Source organism: Homo sapiens, chromosome 20 (genome assembly GCF_000001405.40).
Source record: "Homo sapiens chromosome 20, GRCh38.p14 Primary Assembly".
NCBI lineage: Eukaryota > Metazoa > Chordata > Mammalia > Primates > Hominidae > Homo > Homo sapiens.
Window position 1 is genome coordinate 18,485,117 of NC_000020.11, and position 21,078 is coordinate 18,506,194.

The 21,078-nt window shown below is 42.5% G+C and overlaps 1 protein-coding gene and 2 pseudogenes across 1 annotated transcript, besides 6 other annotated features; 2 read left to right on the forward strand and 1 right to left on the reverse strand.

Annotated features, from left to right (window-relative positions):
- Positions 109–951, forward strand: RPL21P3 (ribosomal protein L21 pseudogene 3; annotated as a pseudogene).
- RBBP9 (RB binding protein 9, serine hydrolase) lies at positions 1,424–12,109 on the reverse strand. Its single transcript, NM_006606.3, has 5 exons — positions 11,953–12,109; positions 10,722–10,764; positions 8,842–8,947; positions 5,279–5,364; positions 1,424–4,874 (listed from the first exon to the last, which is right to left on the reverse strand). Exons 1-5 carry the CDS (start codon positions 12,049–12,051, stop codon positions 4,648–4,650), a joined length of 561 nt encoding a protein of 186 aa, NP_006597.2. The 5' UTR covers positions 12,052–12,109; the 3' UTR covers positions 1,424–4,647.
- Positions 11,662–11,711: an enhancer, noted in NCBI's record as "active region_17586". NCBI's record gives its function as "activates an Ori minimal core promoter by ATAC-STARR-seq in GM12878 lymphoblastoid cells {active_cell/tissue: GM12878}" and the evidence as "EXISTENCE:reporter gene assay evidence [ECO:0000049][PMID:35858748]".
- Positions 11,882–12,041: an enhancer, noted in NCBI's record as "active region_17587". NCBI's record gives its function as "activates an Ori minimal core promoter by ATAC-STARR-seq in GM12878 lymphoblastoid cells {active_cell/tissue: GM12878}" and the evidence as "EXISTENCE:reporter gene assay evidence [ECO:0000049][PMID:35858748]".
- Positions 11,882–12,458: a biological region, named in NCBI's record as "H3K27ac hESC enhancer GRCh37_chr20:18477654-18478218".
- Positions 11,894–12,458: an enhancer, noted in NCBI's record as "H3K27ac hESC enhancer chr20:18477654-18478218 (GRCh37/hg19 assembly coordinates)". NCBI's record gives its function as "activates a minimal SCP1, AML or CMV promoter by ChIP-STARR-seq in naive H9 embryonic stem cells {active_cell/tissue: H9 hESC(naive)}" and the evidence as "EXISTENCE:reporter gene assay evidence [ECO:0000049][PMID:30033119]".
- Positions 12,062–12,111: an enhancer, noted in NCBI's record as "active region_17588". NCBI's record gives its function as "activates an Ori minimal core promoter by ATAC-STARR-seq in GM12878 lymphoblastoid cells {active_cell/tissue: GM12878}" and the evidence as "EXISTENCE:reporter gene assay evidence [ECO:0000049][PMID:35858748]".
- Positions 12,212–12,271: an enhancer, noted in NCBI's record as "active region_17589". NCBI's record gives its function as "activates an Ori minimal core promoter by ATAC-STARR-seq in GM12878 lymphoblastoid cells {active_cell/tissue: GM12878}" and the evidence as "EXISTENCE:reporter gene assay evidence [ECO:0000049][PMID:35858748]".
- Positions 19,482–19,988, forward strand: RPS19P1 (ribosomal protein S19 pseudogene 1; annotated as a pseudogene).

Here is a 21,078-nt window from a genome sequence, read left to right on the forward strand (position 1 = left end):
AAAATAAAATTCAGGCCACATTCTGTGAATTAGCATTTGATGACACTAGCTCTTTGTAACAAAAATTATTTCAAGTATTGAATATACATACATATATAAGATACACAGCCTTTTGGCCAGAACCCCCATCTTCCAGTAATTTGCCAAAATGATGAACACAAACGGAAAGAGGAGAGGCACCCGATATATGTTCTCTAGGACTTTTAGAAAACATGGAGTTGTTCCTTTGGTCACGTATATGCGAATCTATAAGAAAGGTGATATTGTAGACATCAAGGGAATGGGTACTGTTCAAAAAGGAATGCCCCACAAGTGTTACCATGGCAAAACTGGAAGAGTCTACAGTGTTACCCAGCATGCTGTTGGCATTGTTGTAAATAAACAAGGGCAATATTCTTGCCAAGAGCATTAATGTGCATACTGAGCACATGAAGCACTCTAAGAGCCGAGATAGCTTCCTGAAATGCATGAGGAAAATGATCAGAAAAAAAAAAGAAGCCAAAGAGAAAGGTACCTGGGTTTGCCAGGGATGGTGGCTCACGCCTGTAATCCCAGCACTTTGGGAGGCTCAGGCGGGCAGATCACGAGGTGAAGAGATCGAGACCATCCTGGCCAATATGGTAAAACCCTGTCTCTACTAAAAATACAAAAATTATCTGGGCATGGTAGCGCACACCTGTAGTCCCAACTATTCAGGAGGCTGAAGCAGGAGAATCGCTTGAACCTGGGAGGCGGAGGTTGCAGTGAGCTGAGATCGCGCCACTGCACTCCAGCCTGGTGACAGCGAGATTCCGTCTCCAAAAAAAAAAAAGAGAGAAAGTTACCTGGGTTCAACTGAAGTGCCAGCCTGCTCCACCCAGAGAAGCACACTTTGTGAGAACCAATGGGAAGGAGCCTGAGCTGCTGGAACTTATTCCGTATGAATTCATGGCATAATAAGTGTTAATAAAAGATCTCTGGACTGTAAAAAATTATATATATAAATATATATAAATATAAATATATATATAAATATATATAAAAATATATATGTAAATATAAATATATATATATGTAAATATAAATATATATATATATATATATATATATATATATATATATATATATATATATATATATATATGAAGGATCTGGGAACCTGAAACTACAGACAGAGGGTTTCTCTTCCACCCTCAGTGAGAGTTGGAATGGTAAGAACAATGTCTGTCCTTCCTGGGACTTGGCCTATCAAAAAGGCACTAGTTTTATGTAGTAAGAAAAATGAACTTGGAAGAGAGCTAGAAATGAGAAGAAACCAGCTTGTATGTTTTAAATATAGACTTTGTCTTATGTCTTTATAGCTAAAGATTGGTTTTTAGAGCTTAACATTCAATGGCTAAAACAAAAGTATTCCTTACCTCACCAATAAAGAGAAACTTCAAGCTTTTTTCCCATGGTATGTTTTTAATTCTGAAAATTAACTGAAGGAGACAAGAGACAATTTAAAATTACAGCACCTCTGATGAATAGTTAAATGGATCATTTATCCTACAGGGATAAACTGTAACCAAAACAGATTGTGGGGCTCTAGACTCCGGACAGCACCAAAAATTCAAGTTGCATATGAAGTCCTAATACTTACAGTTGATTTCCATTCAGTATTCGGTATTTTGCTCACCTGAGAATAGATACTCCCCAGAGTGTATAGAGGCCCCTGTATATTCAATGATGACCACAAAGAATCAAACAGAAATCAGAAATGACAGTCCATGGCTCTATGGTTTTTAATGAATAGTTTGTGTAGATTTTCCCATGAAACACCCCTGATCTTAGTTGGGTGATTTATAGACCTATGATGTTGGTGGTGATCAGCTAAGCAAACTAGCCAAACAGAAGTAATTTCAAATTAAGTCACTTTTACTTTGTGCTATTACTCATTATTGGATGGTGGGTGAGGGGAAAATACAAAATATATGTCCTAGACCAATGTTGTCCAATAGAGCTTTCTATAATGACGGAAATAGCCTATATTGGCTGGTCAGTAAGGTAACCAATAGCCACCAGTGGCTGTTGAGCACTTGAAATATGGCTAGTTTGACTGAACTGAATTTTCAATTTTACAGCTAGCTGTGGTTACTGGTTACTATATTTGGCAGCAAAGTTCAACAATCCTATAGGTCTATCTTAATTACTTTTATAGGAATGAAGAGTATCAGAATTATTTCTCAATTATATATATTTAGTTTTCATTTCTACAGAGAAAGAGGTCAACAAAGTTTTGTGAACTAAATTGTATAAGTTTCTTTTTTAGGAAAGGACTTCACAGAGAACAAGGCAAAGAATAAGTAATACAACAGCAAATTTCCAAAAAATTCAAGTAGAATCAAACTTTGACTATAGATTTGGTCAAATTAGTGCTAAACAGCCTCTTTAACAACATTATTATTCAACTGATTTATATAATTTGCTTTTTAGTAGTCAAATACATTGTTTTAAATCTTAATTATTTTTGATTATAAAATACATGCTTAGTGTAACAAATTCAAATAATCAGGAGGATAAAGTAAAATAAGGGGCCGGGCATGGTGGCTCATGCCTGTAATCCCAACACTTTGGGCGGCTGAGGTGGGTGGATCACTTGAGGCCAGGAGTTCGAGACCAGCCTGGCCAACATGGTGAAACCCTGTCTCTACTAAAAATACAAAAATTAGCCAGGCGTGGTGGCACATGCCTTTAGTTCACACTACTTGGGAGGCTGAGATGAGAATCACTTGAACCCGGGAGGTGCAGGTTAGAGTGAGCTGAGATTTGTGCCACTGACCTCCAGCCTGGGAGACAGAGCAAGACACTGTCTCAAAAATAATAATAAGGACGTCCACCACACTTTACCTACCAAAATGCCCATTCCCCAAAGATGATTGCTGTTGAACGATTAGGGTACCTTTCCTGATTTTTTTTGTCTAAGCACATTTAAAAACCAAGACTTTTGGTTTTGAGCGATAGCTCTGAATCTCCTTTAGGTATGAAGTGTAGGAAATTGTATTTCTGCAGCAAACTTAGGCTTTGCAACATCAAGTGTGGATTCACTGGAAATTATTTGAAGGAACACATAGCGATCATAATAGCCAAAAAATGTTGGGAAATGAAAAAGGGTGGGTTTTTTTAATTAAAAAAAAATTTTTTTTTTTAAGAGACAGGTTCTTCGCTCCATCACCCAGGATGGAGTACAGTGGCGCGATCATAGCTCACTGAAGGCTCAAACTCCTGGGCTCAAGCAATCCTGCCTCAGCCTCCCAAGAAGCTAGGACTACAGGTGTGCACCACCATGCCTAGCTAATGTTTTAATATTTTGTAGAGATGGGGTCTTGCTGTGTTGCCCTGGCTGGCCTCAAACACCTGGCCTCAAGCAATACAACCACCTCAGCCTCCCACAGTGCTGGGATTACAGGCATGAGCCACCACACCCAGCCAAAAAAAGGTTTTCTGAGGAAGTATGATCAGAAGAAAATGGAATGTGCTTGAAAGAGATCTAAAGGGCCATGGAAGTTAAAAGGTTTAACTCTATAGAACAGAACACGAAGTATGGAAAGGTTCTTTTTAAAAACACTTGTCTTTTGGAACAAAATCCAAATTGTCCCCATGATTTCGTCCTTTGACATTATGTTCATCTTGGTTATCTTAGTCTTTTCTCAGACTTCACAGACAATTATCTAAAAGCCCCTGGCTAAGTGAATGCTTATGACTGTGGTCACAAATGGATGGCTTGGATTTTATTTGTCTTGCAGTGTTTGTAAATTTTTTGATGTATACTGTTATTGCCAACTTACATACTCCATATGTATATGGATTGTATGTGTATGTGTGTGTGTGTGTGTGTATATATATATATATTTGCATTCCCCAAATTTAAAAACTACAATTTGGAGATTTTTTTCCACACAAAAAATCAGAAAATTGGCAACACTCTGCCCCATTTCCACATGGCAACAATTTAGACAGGCCATGAGCTCTCCACATGGCTCTGATCCCACCACTCTTGTCTCAAACAAATCTAGTCAGTTGTACGTATATTATGAATGTATATTGCTGTGCTTCTCCTTCCTGCCTGACTCCGGAAGACTCCTGTCTCAGTCTCTCTCAACATGTCTGAAGGACTTAGGGGCAAGTGTCAGAGGTGAAGGCCCTAGTCTGAGTTTAATGTCTGGGGCCAGCTTGAAACAGCAGCTAGTATTTTGAGCTCTAAGCTAACACTCTGGACTTTCAGTCATGTTTTCTTTCCCCAGTGAAATAGAAAAGTTTGATTTCAAAGAGGAAAAGTGTGCAATACCTGCAACATACATAAAACCTATTTAATTTTACTCAGGAGTGGGAATCAAGAAACCTGGGTTCTGTTTCTGACTCACTTCGGATAGAGAAGGGTAGTTAAGCTGTCCTTATGTTTCTTATCAAATGAGGAAAATACTGTGGTAGTTCATAGCAATTTGGGGAGTTTTAGAGTCTATGGAAAATGGAAGTGCTATTTGTAACTTAGATTGAATGTTGAAACTTGTGTTTGTTTTTCAGGCACTTACGGAACTTAACTGGATGTTCTATGTGTCTAGTAATCAGCTGATAGTAGATATTATTCTACTCCTATATTGGGATGCAAAATAGCAGAAATCATACAGTCTATGCTGGTACTTTCAGCAAAGACTTTACAACAGTAATCAGTTCATGAAACTCTGTGTTCTGAAAGTGGCCACAGTCAGTGAATTTGTGCAATTTGGTTTCCAACCTATCGGCCACTTCTTGTTGTTCCTTCCAGGGAAGGAACGGGTCGTCAGTAGAGCCAAACTGCACAATGTAAGGGCAGTTGGCCTTGATCTTCTCCCACTGCCAGGGGCGGGTGAAGTATCCTATGGGGAAAAAAAAATGATCTTTCAGTACCCATGGATAATCTCCCTTCTAGATATTCTAAAATACCTACTGGCGACCCACATAGAGACGCAAAGGAGCAGAGCCTCCGTGTGAGTTAGAAGCACTTCTTTTGTTTTCAAATCTGTAGGGCTTGATACCACAGTTACTCGTGAAGAGGTGGTATATGGTTCAACTAAAACCAGGCCTCTAGGGTTCAGTTCTAGACTTACAGCTTGGGAAGAAATCAAAGTGCAAACTTATATCCAAAGATAGGTGGTATATCTTTCTCATATGCTATTAGAATTTTTTAGCCTATCTGAAAGACAGCACTGTTTTTACAACCTAAACAGACAGCCCCATGTCTAGAGAAGGGCTTTGCTCAGATTTCTACCTTTGGACTTACCACTTGCACGCTCATTTTCATCCCCCAAGTCTGATGTGTACGCAGACACTAATACAATAGCATATACTCGATGTGTTTCTGCATACCTGGAGAAACAAAAATGATGTCAGCTAATATATAATGTTACCTCTGATCACCAAAAAGTCAATAAACTACTTAAAAACTCATTTGAGGTAGCCTACAGAAAGCACGTGCTACCTGCTGTTGAGGTTGATGTGAAAAATGGCAAGGAAACTGCAGAACTATAAGCCCAACCCTGGCTACTGGATGAGCTTCTACTCATTTTTCTTTTTTTTTTTTTTTGAGACAGAGTCTCACTCTGTCACCCAGGCTGGAGTGCAGTGGCACAATCTTGGCTCACTGCAACCTCCACCTCCTGGGTTCAAACAATTCTCCTGTTTTAGCCTCCTGAGTAGCTGGGATAACAGGCATGCACCACCACGCCCAGCTAATTTTGTATTTTTAGTAGAGACGGGGTTTCACCATGTTGGCCAGGCTGGTCTTGAACTCCTGACCTCAAATAATCCACTCACCCCGGCCTCCTAAAGTGCTGGGATTACAGGCGTGAGCCACCACGCCCAGCCACTACCCATTTTTCAAGGTAGTTGAAACTTGTACAAACCTTTCCCAATAAACAAAAAATGTGTAATCCATCCACGTTTAGTATGCATCAGTGTCACTTGGTTGGTGAACATGCAGATTCTCAGGCTCAGACCCAGAGTCTCTGATTCAGAAAGTTGGCATTAAGGCCTAGAATCTGCATTTTAAGGCGTGATCCCTCCTTCAACCCAGATGACTCTAATGCAAGTGGTCTGTGAACTGTATTTTAAGAAACACTGTATAATACCAGAAATGTACCTTTGTTACCACACACTCCACATTGCCTTATATTATTCATTTGTGTTGTCTTATGTACATTTCTCTCAATAAATTGTCAGCTCCTTAAAGGCAGGCATGAGTCCTATTGATCTTTGTGTTCCTGGTGCCCATTACAGTGCCTGGCAAGTAGACACCCAGCTAACTCTTAGGTTGGTACAAAAGTAATTGCAGTTTTTGCCATTAAAAGTAAGCAGGAGACAGACAAGAAATAAACAGGATGTCAGATGCAATGCATAATCCTTGACTAGATCTAGGATTGACTAGATCTAGGTGAAAAGTACTACAGATAATAAGATATAAAGAGGATAGGAGCCAGTAGAGTGAGTCTCCTTTATTGGCAAAAACCACAGTTATATTTGCAGAGAGCAGTCTCCCTCAGCAAAGACTGGGATAAGGAAAGACACATAGTAGTAATAATTTCAAGGGGCCTTTGTGCCAAGAAAGAGTTAGGGTTGGTATTTTGTTCTTGGGCCTGAACTTTTTTCCCCATTTATTTTGAAAAATATCAAACCTACAGAAACGTTGAAAGAACAAGCACCTAGGCCGGGCACGGTGGCTCACACCTGTAATCCCAGCACTTTGTGAGGCCAAGGCAGGCAGATCACCTGAGGTCAGGAGTTCAAGACCAGCCTGACCAATATGGTGAAGCCCCGTCTCTACTAAAAATACAAAAATTAGCCAGGTGTGGTGGCAGGCGCCTGTAGTCTCAGCTACTCGGGAGGCTAAGACAGGAGAATTGCTTGAACCTGGGAGGCAGAGGTTGCAGTGAGCCGATATTGTGCCACTGCACTCCAGCCCGGGCAACAGAGGGAGGCTCTGTCTCAAAAAAAAAAAAAAAAAAAAAAAGAACAAGCACCTAGATTCATTAATTTTGTCACATTTCACCCGTACTTTAGCATGTATCTCCTGAGAAAGCCACTCCCTTAACCATGGTACCACTATTACACCCAATAAATTTCACATTGATACAGCAATATTATCTGTATTCATTTTTCCCCAACTGTACCAAAAATGTCCTTTAAAACATTCTGCAATCCTAGATCTAGTCAAGGATTATGCATTGCATTTTATTTTCATGGCTCTTCAGTCACTTTAAAATTTTTTTGTTTTAAATGACATTAACATTGTTTAAGAGTGTAGGCCAGTTGTCTTGTACATTATCCTCTAAATAGGATTGTCTGTTTCCTCCTAACTAGACTGAGGTAAACATTTCTGGCAAGGATACTGCATAGGTGATGCTGTGTCCTTCCCATGCCATTACATCAGGGGACACATGATGCCAGTCTATTATTGGTGAGATTAAGTTTGATCATTTGCTTAAAGTGATATCCACCTGATTTCTCCATTGGAAAGGCACGATTTCCCTTTCATGATTAGAGTCATCTGTAGGGTAGTCCTCTATGATTTTGTCAATAGGAAATTCTACAACCTTAACCCAATCGTTTTGGCATCCATTTTTCTCCTTGCCTCCCTTAACTTTAGAAGTCAATTCTTAGAAGGTTGCTAAGAATCCTGCAGTGAGTTCAAGGATCTTTAAAAGCAGGCACACCTTTACTAATCAATGGCTTGAGAAAAATGCAGTTGGCCTTGAGTTGGAACAGAATTCAATAATACAAGGAGCTCTTCCTTTTCCAGACAACCCCTGGCAGCATATAACATTCTTACACTGGGAGTGTACCATAATTTTGTGGTTCCATCCTGAAATACTCTTGTAACTTTAATCAGTGTGGCTGAAAGGTTATGAAATTTGGCAAGATTCCCTGACATGCAATTCATGTGACAGCCTAAGTGACTGCTTGGGACAAATAAAAACTATTATCCTTTGTCATTTTGCCTAGCAAATATGAAAGAAACTCAACCCTTATAGGCTAAACTTAGCTTATTCAGCCAGCTAAGTCCCTACCCACTAGGCCTTATAAGGCTAAAAGGGGAGATGTAATATTCTAATGAGAGCAGTAGGGATGTGCATACGAATCCTAAGGACTGGGGATTCGCAGGTGAGTAACACTGCAGACACAATCTACCATATGCCAGGCTCTCTTCTAGGCAATGGGGTTTCAGTGCCAGAGTGAACAAAGCCCTGCCTTCATGGAGTCTACATTCTATTGGCAGGAGACAGACAAGAAATAAACAGGATGTCAGATGGTAAAAAGTGCTGCAGATAATAAGATATAAAAGAGATAGGAGCCAGTAGAGTGAGGAAGCCATTTCATATGGAGTGATTAGAGAAGGCTTCACCAAAAGGGGACATTTGAGCAGACACTTCAAGGGGAATAGAAAGCCATGCAGTGTCTAGGGCCAGAGTATCCCAGGTAGAAGGATGAGAGCAGGCTAAGATGTGCATGTACTTGGCATGTTCCAGGAACTGCAATGAGGTCAGTAAACCTGGCTGGGAGGAGAGAAGGAGAGTCTGTAGAGACAGAATCAGAGCTGACTGATGGGAAGCTACTGGGGTTTGCAGCCACTTATGCTTTAAAAGGATCACTGCATCTCAATAAGAGCAGATTTTTTGTTTTCTTTCAATCCACTAGCAAAACCAGGAAGGAATTAGGACAGATTATGTTACCACTTTAGAGGTCAGCACTGTTTCCTCTGCAACAGAAATTTAAGATATACGCAAGGTATTTCTCAAGCAAGCATGACTGGAGCCCACAAAGGGGATAGCAGTTTAACAAAGATCGCACCTCATGGCCGCGATGGCCCCAGAACTGTGGCCAATGATGATAGTCTTCTCATCACAGTGCAGCTCTGTCTCCATGAAGGGCAGCCAGATGCTCTCTCGTGCTGTAACTTAAGGTTCAGGGTAAAGAAAAAGTCTGTCATTTGATAGTGGCAGTCTGAATCCAACGCTGCCCCACCTTTCAAACAGGCAACTATTCAGCAGTTCACAACTTTTAAAACTGCAGGACCACAGCAGGAGACCAGACTGTATTAACAAAACCAAAGATTTATGTATTACTACTTGAAAGATCCAAGTCCACAGTTTTGGTAACTAGTTTTTCTTTTCTCTTTTTTTTTTTTTTTTTTGGTTTACCATGTTCTTGTAAGAAAATACTAAGGAAATAATAAAATATAACTCTGAAATTTTAATGTAAACTTTCAAACTTGAAAAAAAAAGCTAATGGTCAGGTGCAGTGGTTCACACCTATAATCCCAACACTTTGGGAGGCTGAGGTGGACAGATCATTTGAGGTCAGGAGTTCGAGACCAGCCTGCCCAAATGCTGAAACCCCGTCTCTGCTAAAAATACAAAAAAAATTAGCCAGGCGTGATGGCGCATGCCTGTAATCCCAGCTACTTGGGAGGCTGACACAGGAGAATCACTTGAACCCAGGAGGCAGAGGTTGCAGTGAGCCAACATCACGCCACAGCACTCTGGCCTGGGCAACAGAGCGAGACTCCATCTCAAAAAAAAAAGCAAAAAAACTCTTGCAACATTCTAAAATTCACATTTATTCATTCTTTCCAAAAAGGGGATTCCTGAGACAAGTCATAGGCATACCCAGAACAAAAGTAGCAATATGACATTTTTAAACATTAGGACCTCAAATAGATGCTGTAAAGTTTTATACCTATGCCTCAAGTATAGTACCCACAAATTCTGCCTGAAAATATTTGTAGACATATAGAAGGGAAAAATCAAGTTGGTGCAAAGTTGAAAATTAAATTTTACCATGCCCAGGTGCTTTCCTAATCCTTACTAGAATTTTCTATGGCTTACCCCATCCGGGAGGTGAGGGGCGCCTCTGCCCGGCCGCCCCTACTGGGAAGTGAGGAGCCCCTCTGTCCGGCCACCACCCCGTCTGGGAGGTGTACCCAACAGCTCATTGAGAACGGGCCATGATGACAATGGCAGTTTTGTGGAATAGAAAGGGGGGAAAGGTGGGGAAAAGATTGAGAAATCGGATGGTTGCCGTGTCTGTGTAGAAAGAGGTAGACATGGGAGACTTTTCATTTTGTTCTGTACTAAGAAAAATTCTTCTGCCTTGGGATCCTGTTGATCTGTGACCTTACCCCCAACCCTGTGCTCTCTGAAACATGTGCTGTGTCCACTCAGGGTTAAATGGATTAAGGGCGGTGCAAGATGTGCTTTGTTAAACAGATGCTTGAAGGCAGCATGCTCGTTAAGAGTCATCACCACTCCCTAATCTCAAGTACCCAGGGACGCAAACACTGCGGAAGGCCGCAGGGTCCTCTGCCTAGGAAAACCAGAGACCGTTGTTCACTTGTTTATCTGCTGACCTTCCCTCCACTATTGTCCTGTGACCCTGCCAAATCCCCCTCTGCGAGAAACACCCAAGAATGATCAATAAATAAATAAATAAATAAATAAATAAATAAATAAATAAAAATGACAAATTCACAGAATTGAAAAAAAAAAAAAAAAAAGAATTTTCTATGGCTTTTGGTTCACACCCTCCTCCCCAAGCTGCTTGCCTTATTCTTTCTTAGGTATATAGGCATCTTTGGTTCCTCCACTATGATATTCTTGTTCTCTACCACAAAAATGGTAATATCAAAACCCAACAAGATGAGGCTATTTAAAAACAAGTTTAAAACTTACTTGGGTCGGGCATGTTTTTAGCCAAACACTGGAAACCAGGTATCTATGATATGAGGGGGGAGAAAAAGCTATAATAAAGAGCTTAATTACAACTAATACTTTGCTAATAAGAAATGAGGCACCTGATATGATCGTTACCAATTCAGTATTAACTTGTGTTATGAAATGAAGTAGGTTAAGTGACCATCTTTTCGCATGAACTCCATCTGTAGTTCTGTATCTAGGCAGCTCTGCTGATCTCTATAGAGAGACCTATATCTGCATTTGTACACCCATATTTGCCTCTACAGGCCTGCATCTATAGAGAGGCATGAACAAATGTGTTCTAGACAGACTGACCTGGAGCCAAATAGACTGTGTTCCAGGGAGTAGGTAAAACGTGGCACAGGAACGTGATACAGAAATTTGGAGACAGCATACTCTCAGAAGCTCCAGCCCTGACCTTTGGGGTTGTAACTCTGACCAGGGTTTTCAGCCACAGCGCTGCAATCTATTCTGGAGACCCGCTCTAGAGGACAGCAACCCAGGGAGCCGACTTACCGCCTGGTTACAGAAGAGGGTTAAAAAATAAAAATCAAACGGCACAGGTCAGCCTACAGTAAGATGCCACTTTTATAAAGCTCACCAAGAAGCCAAATAGAACAGTCTGTTGTTTAAAAGGTATATTCATAGGTTGAAAAGTACTTCAATTTTAAAAAGAGAAGCAGATGAAAAAATTCAGGATGGCACGGGACTGAGATGGGTAGACATAAGGGTCGTTTGGAAGATGATGTATAGGCAATGTCCCAGGTTTTAGTTTGGTAATTCATTACATTATGCCTCATAATGTAGACGCATGTTACGTATATCCTTTGTATATATTAAGTATAGCATATTTAATTTTTTAAAAGCTGAAGCGGGAAGCAGTGAACATGTAAAATTATCTGGGAAGTCCCAAATCTGAACCAGCAGCAGATACGGGGGGCGGGGCTCAGGGGCTCAGCCTCGGTAGTTCAAAGGGGTTCCTTTAACTCTAAAGGCTGAGCCCTCAGAGAAGTCTTCCAGGCAGTTTTACCAGTCAAAATTCGACCACTAGCTCAGACTTTAAGAGAAGGCAGCGGGGGAGAGGCAGGAAAACACACAGGGCTTTGCTAGAGGGGATTAGACGCCTATTCAAACTTCAGCCCTCAGTCCTCTCCCGCCGTCCCTCCCTCCAGGCTGACTTCACGGAGCAGCGGCGTTGGGCGCTTACCTTCTCCAGCTCCTTTTTCACCCAGCCATACCAGCCGTGGGTGGTCACATCCCCGCCTCCGTTCCCGGGAACAATCACTGCCTTGCTAGGAGAAGCCATGAGTGCAGCGAGGCCAGAGTTCCCCAGCGCGGGTCCAGCGGAGCTGAGCCCAGCCTGCTCCCGCAGGGAGCCTGCGCCGCGGCATCCTGGGAGTTGTAGTTGCGGGGACCTGGGAGGCCGGGCTCTTTCCTCCTTGGCCTGCCTTCCGCTGGCTGCGTGGGGCAGCCAAGAACAAAGCCTGCGAGCTTCCATCAATTGTAAAGCAAAGCACCCTTTACTTGCCTCTTACTAGTGCTCTCATGTTTTTCCCTTATTTAAGACAGGCTATGACACGGTTGGGGTGTGTTATTTCTTTGCTAGATTTACTGATATTTCTATAGGAAAGTTTGTTTTTGGTTTCAAACATGCAGAAAACCCATTTATAACCTGGGAACGCCTGAAATCCATATTATTTTTCCTTCTGAGTTTAAAACAGTTTTTAGTAGTCAGTATCAGCCCTGGTTGTTGTTTTTCATTGCTTTGAATGAAATTTCCTTGCATAAAGCTACTAACCCAAGTAAAACAAGCAAAAATTTAATTAAATACCAAGAAAATACTTCGTCAGATTTTCATATTAAACCAGCTGATACTGAAATTGTTTAAAATAGTTTATAACCAATGCTTAGTCCCATATTCCTGGGAAGACAAACAAAGCTTCATGTACATTTGGTCACCGGGTGGGCCATTTAAACATTTTGTAAGGGGATTTCATTCAATTGTTATTTGAATTCCAATTTGTCATTCTGGTTGTATAAAAGCTTTCCCATGCAAGAGGGCTGATGTTATAACAGTAGATTATTATGCTACAGTGTATTTTCCCCCGGTAAAGAAAGCTTTTTATGGTTTGAATTTTCTGGAAACATTGGAGAAGACTGTCCTTGTCATCCACACTACAACAAAACTTCAGGACCTTGGGCTTTGGGTTCATGGTCTCGCAAATGAGAACGGTCCCTCCACACTTTTGGAACAGTGCACCCATTGGAACTTTTGAGGTAAAGCTACCCTGGGAAATTTCTCCCAAGAAGAAAATGGCATCCTTGATGTGAACAGCTTTTCCCAAGTTCACAGATTAAGACTTCTACTACCATGAAACTCTTATCTTTCAATATTTTTTGTCTTCCTTATGCCTCTACAAACAATAGAAGTGGAAAAGGGGTCTGTTATGTGCACTTATGGGGTATACTTTTATTTGTGAAGGAGTTTGCAGCCAGCCTTATACATGGATAAACTTAGACTTTGATAGATAAAAGATGAAGGCCCGAAGTAGGTAAGAAACTTTAATGGTACATGCATTGCTTCATAATCAGTCAAAAACAAAACATTGGTTCACTCCTCTAACCCACATCATGGGTTAAAGAAAACATTGCCAGTAGGCCTTCACTCTTCTAGAAAGGCATCATTTGTTAGGTCCTTTTACCATGGTTTGAAGTAAAAGAAGCAATGATTAGAAATGTATCCCTCATTGGCTGGGCGCGGTGGCTTACACCTGTAATCCCAGCACTTTAGGAGTCCGAGGCAGGCAGATCACCTGAGGTCAGGAGTTCAAGATCAGCCTGGCCAACATGGCAAAACCCCATCTCTACTAAAAATACAAAAATTAGCTAGGCGTGGTGGCAGGTGCCTGTAATCGCAGCTACTCAGGAAGCTGAGGCAAGAGAATTGCTTGAACCCGGAAGGCAGAGGTTGCAGTGAACCAAGACTGTGCCACTGCACTCCAACCTGGGCGACAGAGCAAGACTCCGTCTAAAAAAAAAAAAAAAGGAAAAAAGAAAAAAATAAATTCAGTGGTAGAGGATTAACGAAGAAATTGCTTAGTCAAGTGAGTAAACCCTTTATCTAGCTCATTCTTTGATCTATTTGATTTTAGGAGGTTTGGTTTATCGGGGCCTTGGGTTTAGGAGCATACCCCGAACTCTTGGTGTTATCCTCCCAATATTTATAATAATAGTCTCCCTGGTGTGCTGTATTCTCTCAAAGGTTTTAAATGTTTGCACGCGGTCATCTCTAGAACGTCAGATGTTCTCTCTTCAACTGGAATGACAAAAGCTGAAAGAAATGTGCAACCATGAGAACACCAAAACCTATAAATGATGTGCTGAGACCGAAACCCAAAATGATGGTAACTGAGAGTGGCGCTAAGGCCCTAAGTTTTGGTCACACTCTCACCTAAGTGAGAACCTGACCAAAAAGGGGGAATTTTTTGCACAAAATTTTGCGAGGCCATTGTTTTGGACTAAGCTCATGCATTAGGCCCCAACAAACCAAACCAAACCAAAATGGAGTTGCTTGTGCTAAGACTTCAAGGAAACATAGATTCTAGAACAGACTAGGTTTTGTTTTTTTTTCTGCAAATCTCTATAACAAACATCTCTGACAGCGTAGGTATCCACCCCATGAAGTTCCCATTAAATCTTTTTTTTTTTTTTTTTTGAGACGGAGTCTCGCTGTCGCCCAGGCTGGAGTGCAGTGGCGCAATCTCGGCTCACTGCAGGCTCCGCCCCCTGGGGTTCACGCCATTCTCCTGCCTCAGCCTCCGGAGTAGCTGGGACTACAGGCGCCCGCCACCTCGCCCGGCTAATTTTTTGTATTTTTAGTAGAGACAGGGTTTCACCGTGTTAGCCAGGATGGTCTCGATCTCCTGACCTCGTGATCCGCCCGCCTCGGCCTCCCAAAGTGCTGGGATTACAGGCGTGAGCCACCGCGCCCGGCCATCCCATTAAATCTTTTAACCAAATTAATTTCCTCTCGTCTGGAGACCATCAAGCTTCAGATGATCATGCAACAAAGGTTCCAGCCAGTTCCAGGTGAAGACACCACCCCTAGCCATCAAGAAACTACCCTGCCTCCACTAGATAGAGCAGGGCGAGTTCCATGATCACCAGTAGGTAGGGACTACACCCCAAGCCAGCATGAAGCAGTTACAGAAAAAAGACCATCAGTCCCTCTGCCTCCCATAAAGATTTATGGGGATCACATCTCTCAGCGGGCAGATGAGCCAGGAAAATAGGGTCTGGAGGCAGGGAACAGAAGGCCGATTCACACTTCGGTAATGACAGGAAATATCCTCTTCACAGGGTGTAGGCCAACTAAATGACTTTGTAGCTTTACTTCATCCTCTTCATTTACATAGGGTGTACCCCAAGTAGAGGGTATTTAAATGCTCAAAAATTCTATAATGGGGATTTTGAGGCCTTATGCTCAGGCCTGCTCCCATAATGTAGAGTGTACTTTCATTTTCAATGAAACCCTTCTTTCCTTCCTTTCTTTGTGCGTTTCGTCTAATTGTTTGTTCAAGACGCTAAGAAACTGGACACCCTCCACCATTAACAAAGGGACATGAAACTTTTGGGGGTGATATATATGTTTATTATCTCGATTGTGGTGATGGGTGTCAAAACTTAATAAATTGTACATTTTAAATATGTGCAGCTTAAGGTACATCAATTATACCTCAATATAACTCTTTCAAATTTAAAAATAGTAATCCCAGCATTTTGGGAGGCTAAAGCGGGAGGATTGCTTGAGCCCAGGAGTTTGAGACTAGCCTGGGCAACATGGCAAGACTCCATGTCTTCAAAAATTTTTTAAATTAGCCAGGCACGGTGGTGTACACCTGTAGTCCCAGCTACTCAGCAGGCTAAGGTAGAATGATCACTTGAGCATGGGAGACTGCAGTGAGCTATGATCATGCCACTGCACTCTAGCGTGGGTGACACAGTGAGACTCTGTCTCAAAAAAAAAAAAAGGAATAAAATGTCAACATAAAACAAGCAGAGACATTCCTATAACCAACTGGTTGTTTGCTTAGTAGTTTTTAGTTCAAGAAGCAGTGATACTCCCTAAACAGGAACTGGGGGCTGAAAAAGGATCTAGCAATCTAGCTTCCCTTAAGATTTAGTTAGCTCATTCTTCTAGAAGGAGAAAAAAGGCAGTGACATTAACTCTCATCTTAGGTTGTTTATGCCAATAATAATTGAGAAGATTATAATTACATATATCCGTTTTGTTTTCTACTTTTTATCTCTTGTACAAACAATTTCTGAGCTTATCATTATCACAGAAGAAACAGTTTTAGTTTCAAAGCTAAAAGCCAACATTTTTGTCCATTTTATTTTTTGAGATGAAGTCTCGCTCAGTCACCCAGGCTGGAGTGCAGTGGCGCGATCTCGGCTCACCGCAAGCTCTGCCTCCCGGGTTCACGCCATTCTCCTGCCTCAGCCTCCCGAGTAGCTGGGACTACAGGCGCCCACCACCATGCCCAGCTAAATTTTTTTTTGTATTTTTTTTTTTAGTAGAGACAGAGTTTCACCATGTTAGCCTGGATGGTCTCGATCTCCTGACCTCGTGATCCACCCGTCTCAGCCTCCCAAAGTGCTGGGATTACAGGCATGAGCCACTGCTCCCGGCCATTTTTGTGAATTTTTAAAAATCTGAAAATGCACCTTTATATTTGGTACCTCATTTGCTAATATTGAAGAAGTTGTTCTCAAGAACTTGCTGAGACAGTTTGACTCTTTCTAAAGGGATCACCCACCCTCCACTGAGGCCCTCCTTCTAAAGGGATCACCCACCCTCCACTGAGGCCCTCCTTCTAAAGGGATCACCCACCCTCCACTGAGGCCCTCCTTCTAAAGGGATCTTCCACCCTCCACTGAGGCCCTCCTTCTAAAGGGATCTTCCACCCTCCACTGAGGCCCTCCTTCTAAAGGGATCACCCTCCCTCCACTGAGGCCCTCCTGCTGAATAATCTTCCTCTGCCTGGATTTTTCTTTTCAGGTCAGGATGTTTTCTGTGGGAAGTTTGTCTCTAAGTCTTCAAACTCACGGTCTAAATCTATTCTCCTCTCTTCTGTGGTTACTTTTCCTTTCTGCCACTGCTTTTGTTTACTTGTTTGTTTGAATTTTGGTTTTGCCACCTTGAGGAGAAAGGAGGTCAATGGAAGCCTTCTTCAAAGTCTTGAAGCACACATGGCAGCTCCTGGGAAAGGAAGGGAGGTGAAGAGGCTGTTCTTGGCAGAGAGGAAGGCATGCAAAAGGGCACTGAAACAACAAACAGCACATGTGGGCTGGGAAGGACAGTGGTTCATTACTGGAGGATTGAGATCTGTAGATCATTGAGGCCCGTGAGTAGCACAGGGGCCCCTACTGTATCCTGTGAATGATGGGAAAATTATGTAAGGTTTTAAGCAAGAGAATAGTAGGGTCAGATATGTGATTTAGAGAAGTCTATCCAGCAACCAATGTGATTTTTAGATCGGGCAAAATTTGGGCAAAACAATCATTCGAGAGACTGTTGCAGGAATCCAATCAGAGGATGAGTGCCTGAACTAAGCAAGTAGATGAAATTGAGAAATAGAGTAACAAATTAACAAGACCAAGTGATTCAGTGTCACCTTCAAGGTGGAGGTGTTAGAAATAAGGAGGAGCCAAGGATAACTTCCTACTTTATAGACTCAGTAACTGGGAGAAGAATGGCATCTTCAAGTGAAGATGTACAAGAGGCAGAAGGTTCACTGGGAGCCAGGGGGATGATGGATTCAGTTTAGGACATATTAAGATCGAGATGTGCAAGCATACCCAGTGATATCTGCAGGACATTTCTCCAGACGGCCTTGGACTGGCCCAGTTCTCCCCACTTTCTTGCTCATAGTTCTGAAGAATAATTCCGATGTGCTGGGAATATAGTATTCTGAGATAAGGAGGAAATAGCCAGAACAGCCCAGGCTGTGTTCTAGCCTCACTAAAAACAAGATGTCCTTCAATGCTTTTACGGCTTTTCCCAGCTAGAATACAAGTGGGCATGCACAGACGAGACTCGATCTGCACCGTGTGGCTTTCCTGAGTCTTGAGAGACCAGCTCATGTTGAATCCTAGGTTTCTGCTGTCCCTTGCTGCTTCTCTGTGAGTAATAAATCCACTTCATGTAACTTGTGTATGTGAGTGTTCTGGCTCACCAGACTCGGGCAGGTAGTAGAAGTACAGCCCAAGATGCAGTGAACTGAATTGGTAACCAGTGCACAGTAAACACACTTTGAAGAACCCAGCAGGTTGCTGAATATTTGAATCGGATGTTAGGTAGAAAAGTCTGACCCAGAAATACAGAATTTAGGCTGAGCGTGGTGGCTCACACCTGTAATCCCAGCACTTTGGGAGGCCGAGGTGGGCAGATCACCTGAGGTCAGGAGTTCGACACCGGCCTGGCCAACATGGCGAAACCCCTACTAAAAACACAAAAATTAGCCAGGTGTGGTGGCCTGCGCCTGTAATCCCAGCCACTCACGAGACTGAGGCAGGAGAATCGCTTGAACCCAGGGGCAGAGGTTGCAGTGAGCCAAGATCGTGCCACTGCACTCCAGCTTGGGCAACAGAGAGAGACTCCATCTCAAAATAATAATAATAAAATAAAATAAATAAAAGAATTTAGACTCAGGCTACAGATGATGATAATATGTCAGAAAAATTATGAAAGATTTTGAAATAGTCAAAAGAGGTTACTGGGTGAACTTTCTGTGGAGTGCTGTGCATTTTTAAAAGACTCTCTGGGGGCCGGGAGTGGTGGCTCATGCCTGTAATCCCAGCACTTTGGGAGGCCGAGGCGGGCAGATCATGAGGTCAAGAGATCGAGACCATTCTGGGCAACATGGTGAAACCCTGTCTCTACTAAAATTACAAAAATTAGCTAGGCATGGTCGTGTGCACCTATAGTCCCAGCTACTCGGGAGGCTGAGGCAGGAGAATCGCTTGAAGCCGGGATGTGGAGGTTGCAGTGAACTGAGATCGCGCCACTGCACTCCAGCCTGGCGACAGAGCGAGACTTCGTTTCAAAAACAAAAAATCCCCTGGGTCATTTGCCGTAGGAGGGATGTACCTCTGCCTTTGAGTATGCTATTTTACAACTCTGTAGAGATAGAAATTAACTTATAGAAGATAGTAATGCAAATGTTCCCTGCCCACAACAATGAAAACTATTCCTGTCCACAGCAATGCAAATCAATTTTGTGTGATAGAGAATATGTCACTATAAATCAAATTCTCCTTAGAACCAGTCTGAACATCCCTCCTGGTCGTAGGGATTAATTAAAATCAATGAATGAGTTAAGTAAGATCTTTGGCACATGTTCATTTTATATTTGCATGAAGGCCATAATTTTACCTTTTGAAACACTTTAACAGTTTTGAAGCTTTCACCAACATCCCAATGGATTCACCTGACAGAACCAGGTAAACCACATTACTGAAGAACACCCCATGGGGCTAAGCCCAAGCACATTTTTTCCTGGCTCCGGGAGTGAATACCAAGTAGCAATAGTACTACAGCGTTGCTGACTTTCTCCCTAGGTTTCTTTCTCCTCCTTACTGATTTTGGGTTTTGTTTCTGATTCGCCCACAGCTGGCGGATTTTTCCCCATGAATGGCGACACCAATTAGGAACTCGCGGGAAACCCCGTTGCTCCCTTTCCCCTGGCTGGCAGCGCGGAAGCCGCACGATGCCTGGAGTTCCTGTAAACCACGTGAACCAGCGGGACTTCGTCAGAGCTCTGGCAGCCTTTCTCAAAAAGTCCGGGAAGCTGAAAGTCCCCGAATGGGTGGACACCGTCAAGCTGGCCAAGCACAAAGAGCTTCCTCCCTACGTTGAGAACTGGTTCTACACACGAGCCGGTTCCACAGCGCGGCACCTGTACCTCCAGGGTGGCGCTGGGGTTGGCTCCATGACCAAGATCTATGGGGACGTCAGAGAAACGGCGTCATGCCCAGCCACTTCGGCCGAGGCTTCAAGAGTGTCCTCCGCCGGGTCCTCCAAGCCCTGGAGGGGCTGAAAATGGTGGAAAAGGACCAAGATGGGGGCCGCAAACTGACACCTCAGGGACAGAGAGATCTGGGCAGAATTGCCGGACAGGTGGCAGCTGCCAACAAGAAGCATTGGAACAAACCATGCTGGGTTAATACATTGCCTCATTCAGAAAAAAAAAAAAAAATTAGGAACTAGGTTTTACATTCTGAACATTTGGTGATCTCTTTAAGTGAATTAATAGTTTTTAGAGATCTATTCTCTTTTGGATAAGAGATGATGAAAAATCTGGTTTGTTAGTCTTTTTGTTTGTTTGCCTTTTTGTCTACTTATGAGTTCAAATCAGTTAAGACTTCCATGCCCATTGGGAAGGAGAACAGCTTTTTGTTATCTAGTCCACTGAATTTTTATGTTTCTGAATTTACTTTCGACCTGTGGCCAAAGTTGCAGAACCAAAGCTATATGCTATGTGTCTATGTGTCTTCCCGGCTGTAATCAACAAAGGCCTTCCCCTCTTGTTGTGGGAGTAAAAAAATCTTACTACCTTTGTAAAGTTTTAATAAGTTATATTATTTCATGTCTTAAAGGAGCTCTGTTATAATTCACTTATGGAAACAAACACATGTAAATCAATTATTTCTAAAATTCCAGAAAATAAGTAAATTAAACTTATGCATGCAAAATTTCTTAAAAATGCTGAAACCATCCTGACAGGGTTAACAAGATTACAAGCCAGCCTTTAGGCAGGTTAGTTAGGCACTGACCAGGGTGCATTGGTGCCCTTCAATTCACTTCCCTGCAGCTGCTAACTAACCAAAAGCCTTGCAGCACACTGATCACCTACTCCCTGATTGCTCCTATCCACAGAATCTCTGACACTAGCTCTTTGTACCCAGGAATTGCTTAAGGTATTTTTCAGATCCTGAATTCCCACAAAACAGCTGATGCCAAACTGTCTAGGGATCCCCACCAGGAAGGGCACAGTGGCTCACGCCTGTAATCTTAGCACTTTGGGAGGCCAAGGTGAGAGGATCGCCTGAAGCCCGGAGTTTGAGACTAGCCTGGGCAACAAAGTGAGACCCTGCTTTACAAAAAAAAAATTTTTTTAAATAAATAAATAAAGACCTCCACCAAGAAACAACACTGGAATGAAGTTTCTTCATCTCCCTGTCCCATGACTTCACCTCTCACTTCCTGACCAATCAGAAATCCCCACACTTTAGCCCATTGCCCCTCCAGACTTCTTAAAAATGCCATCTC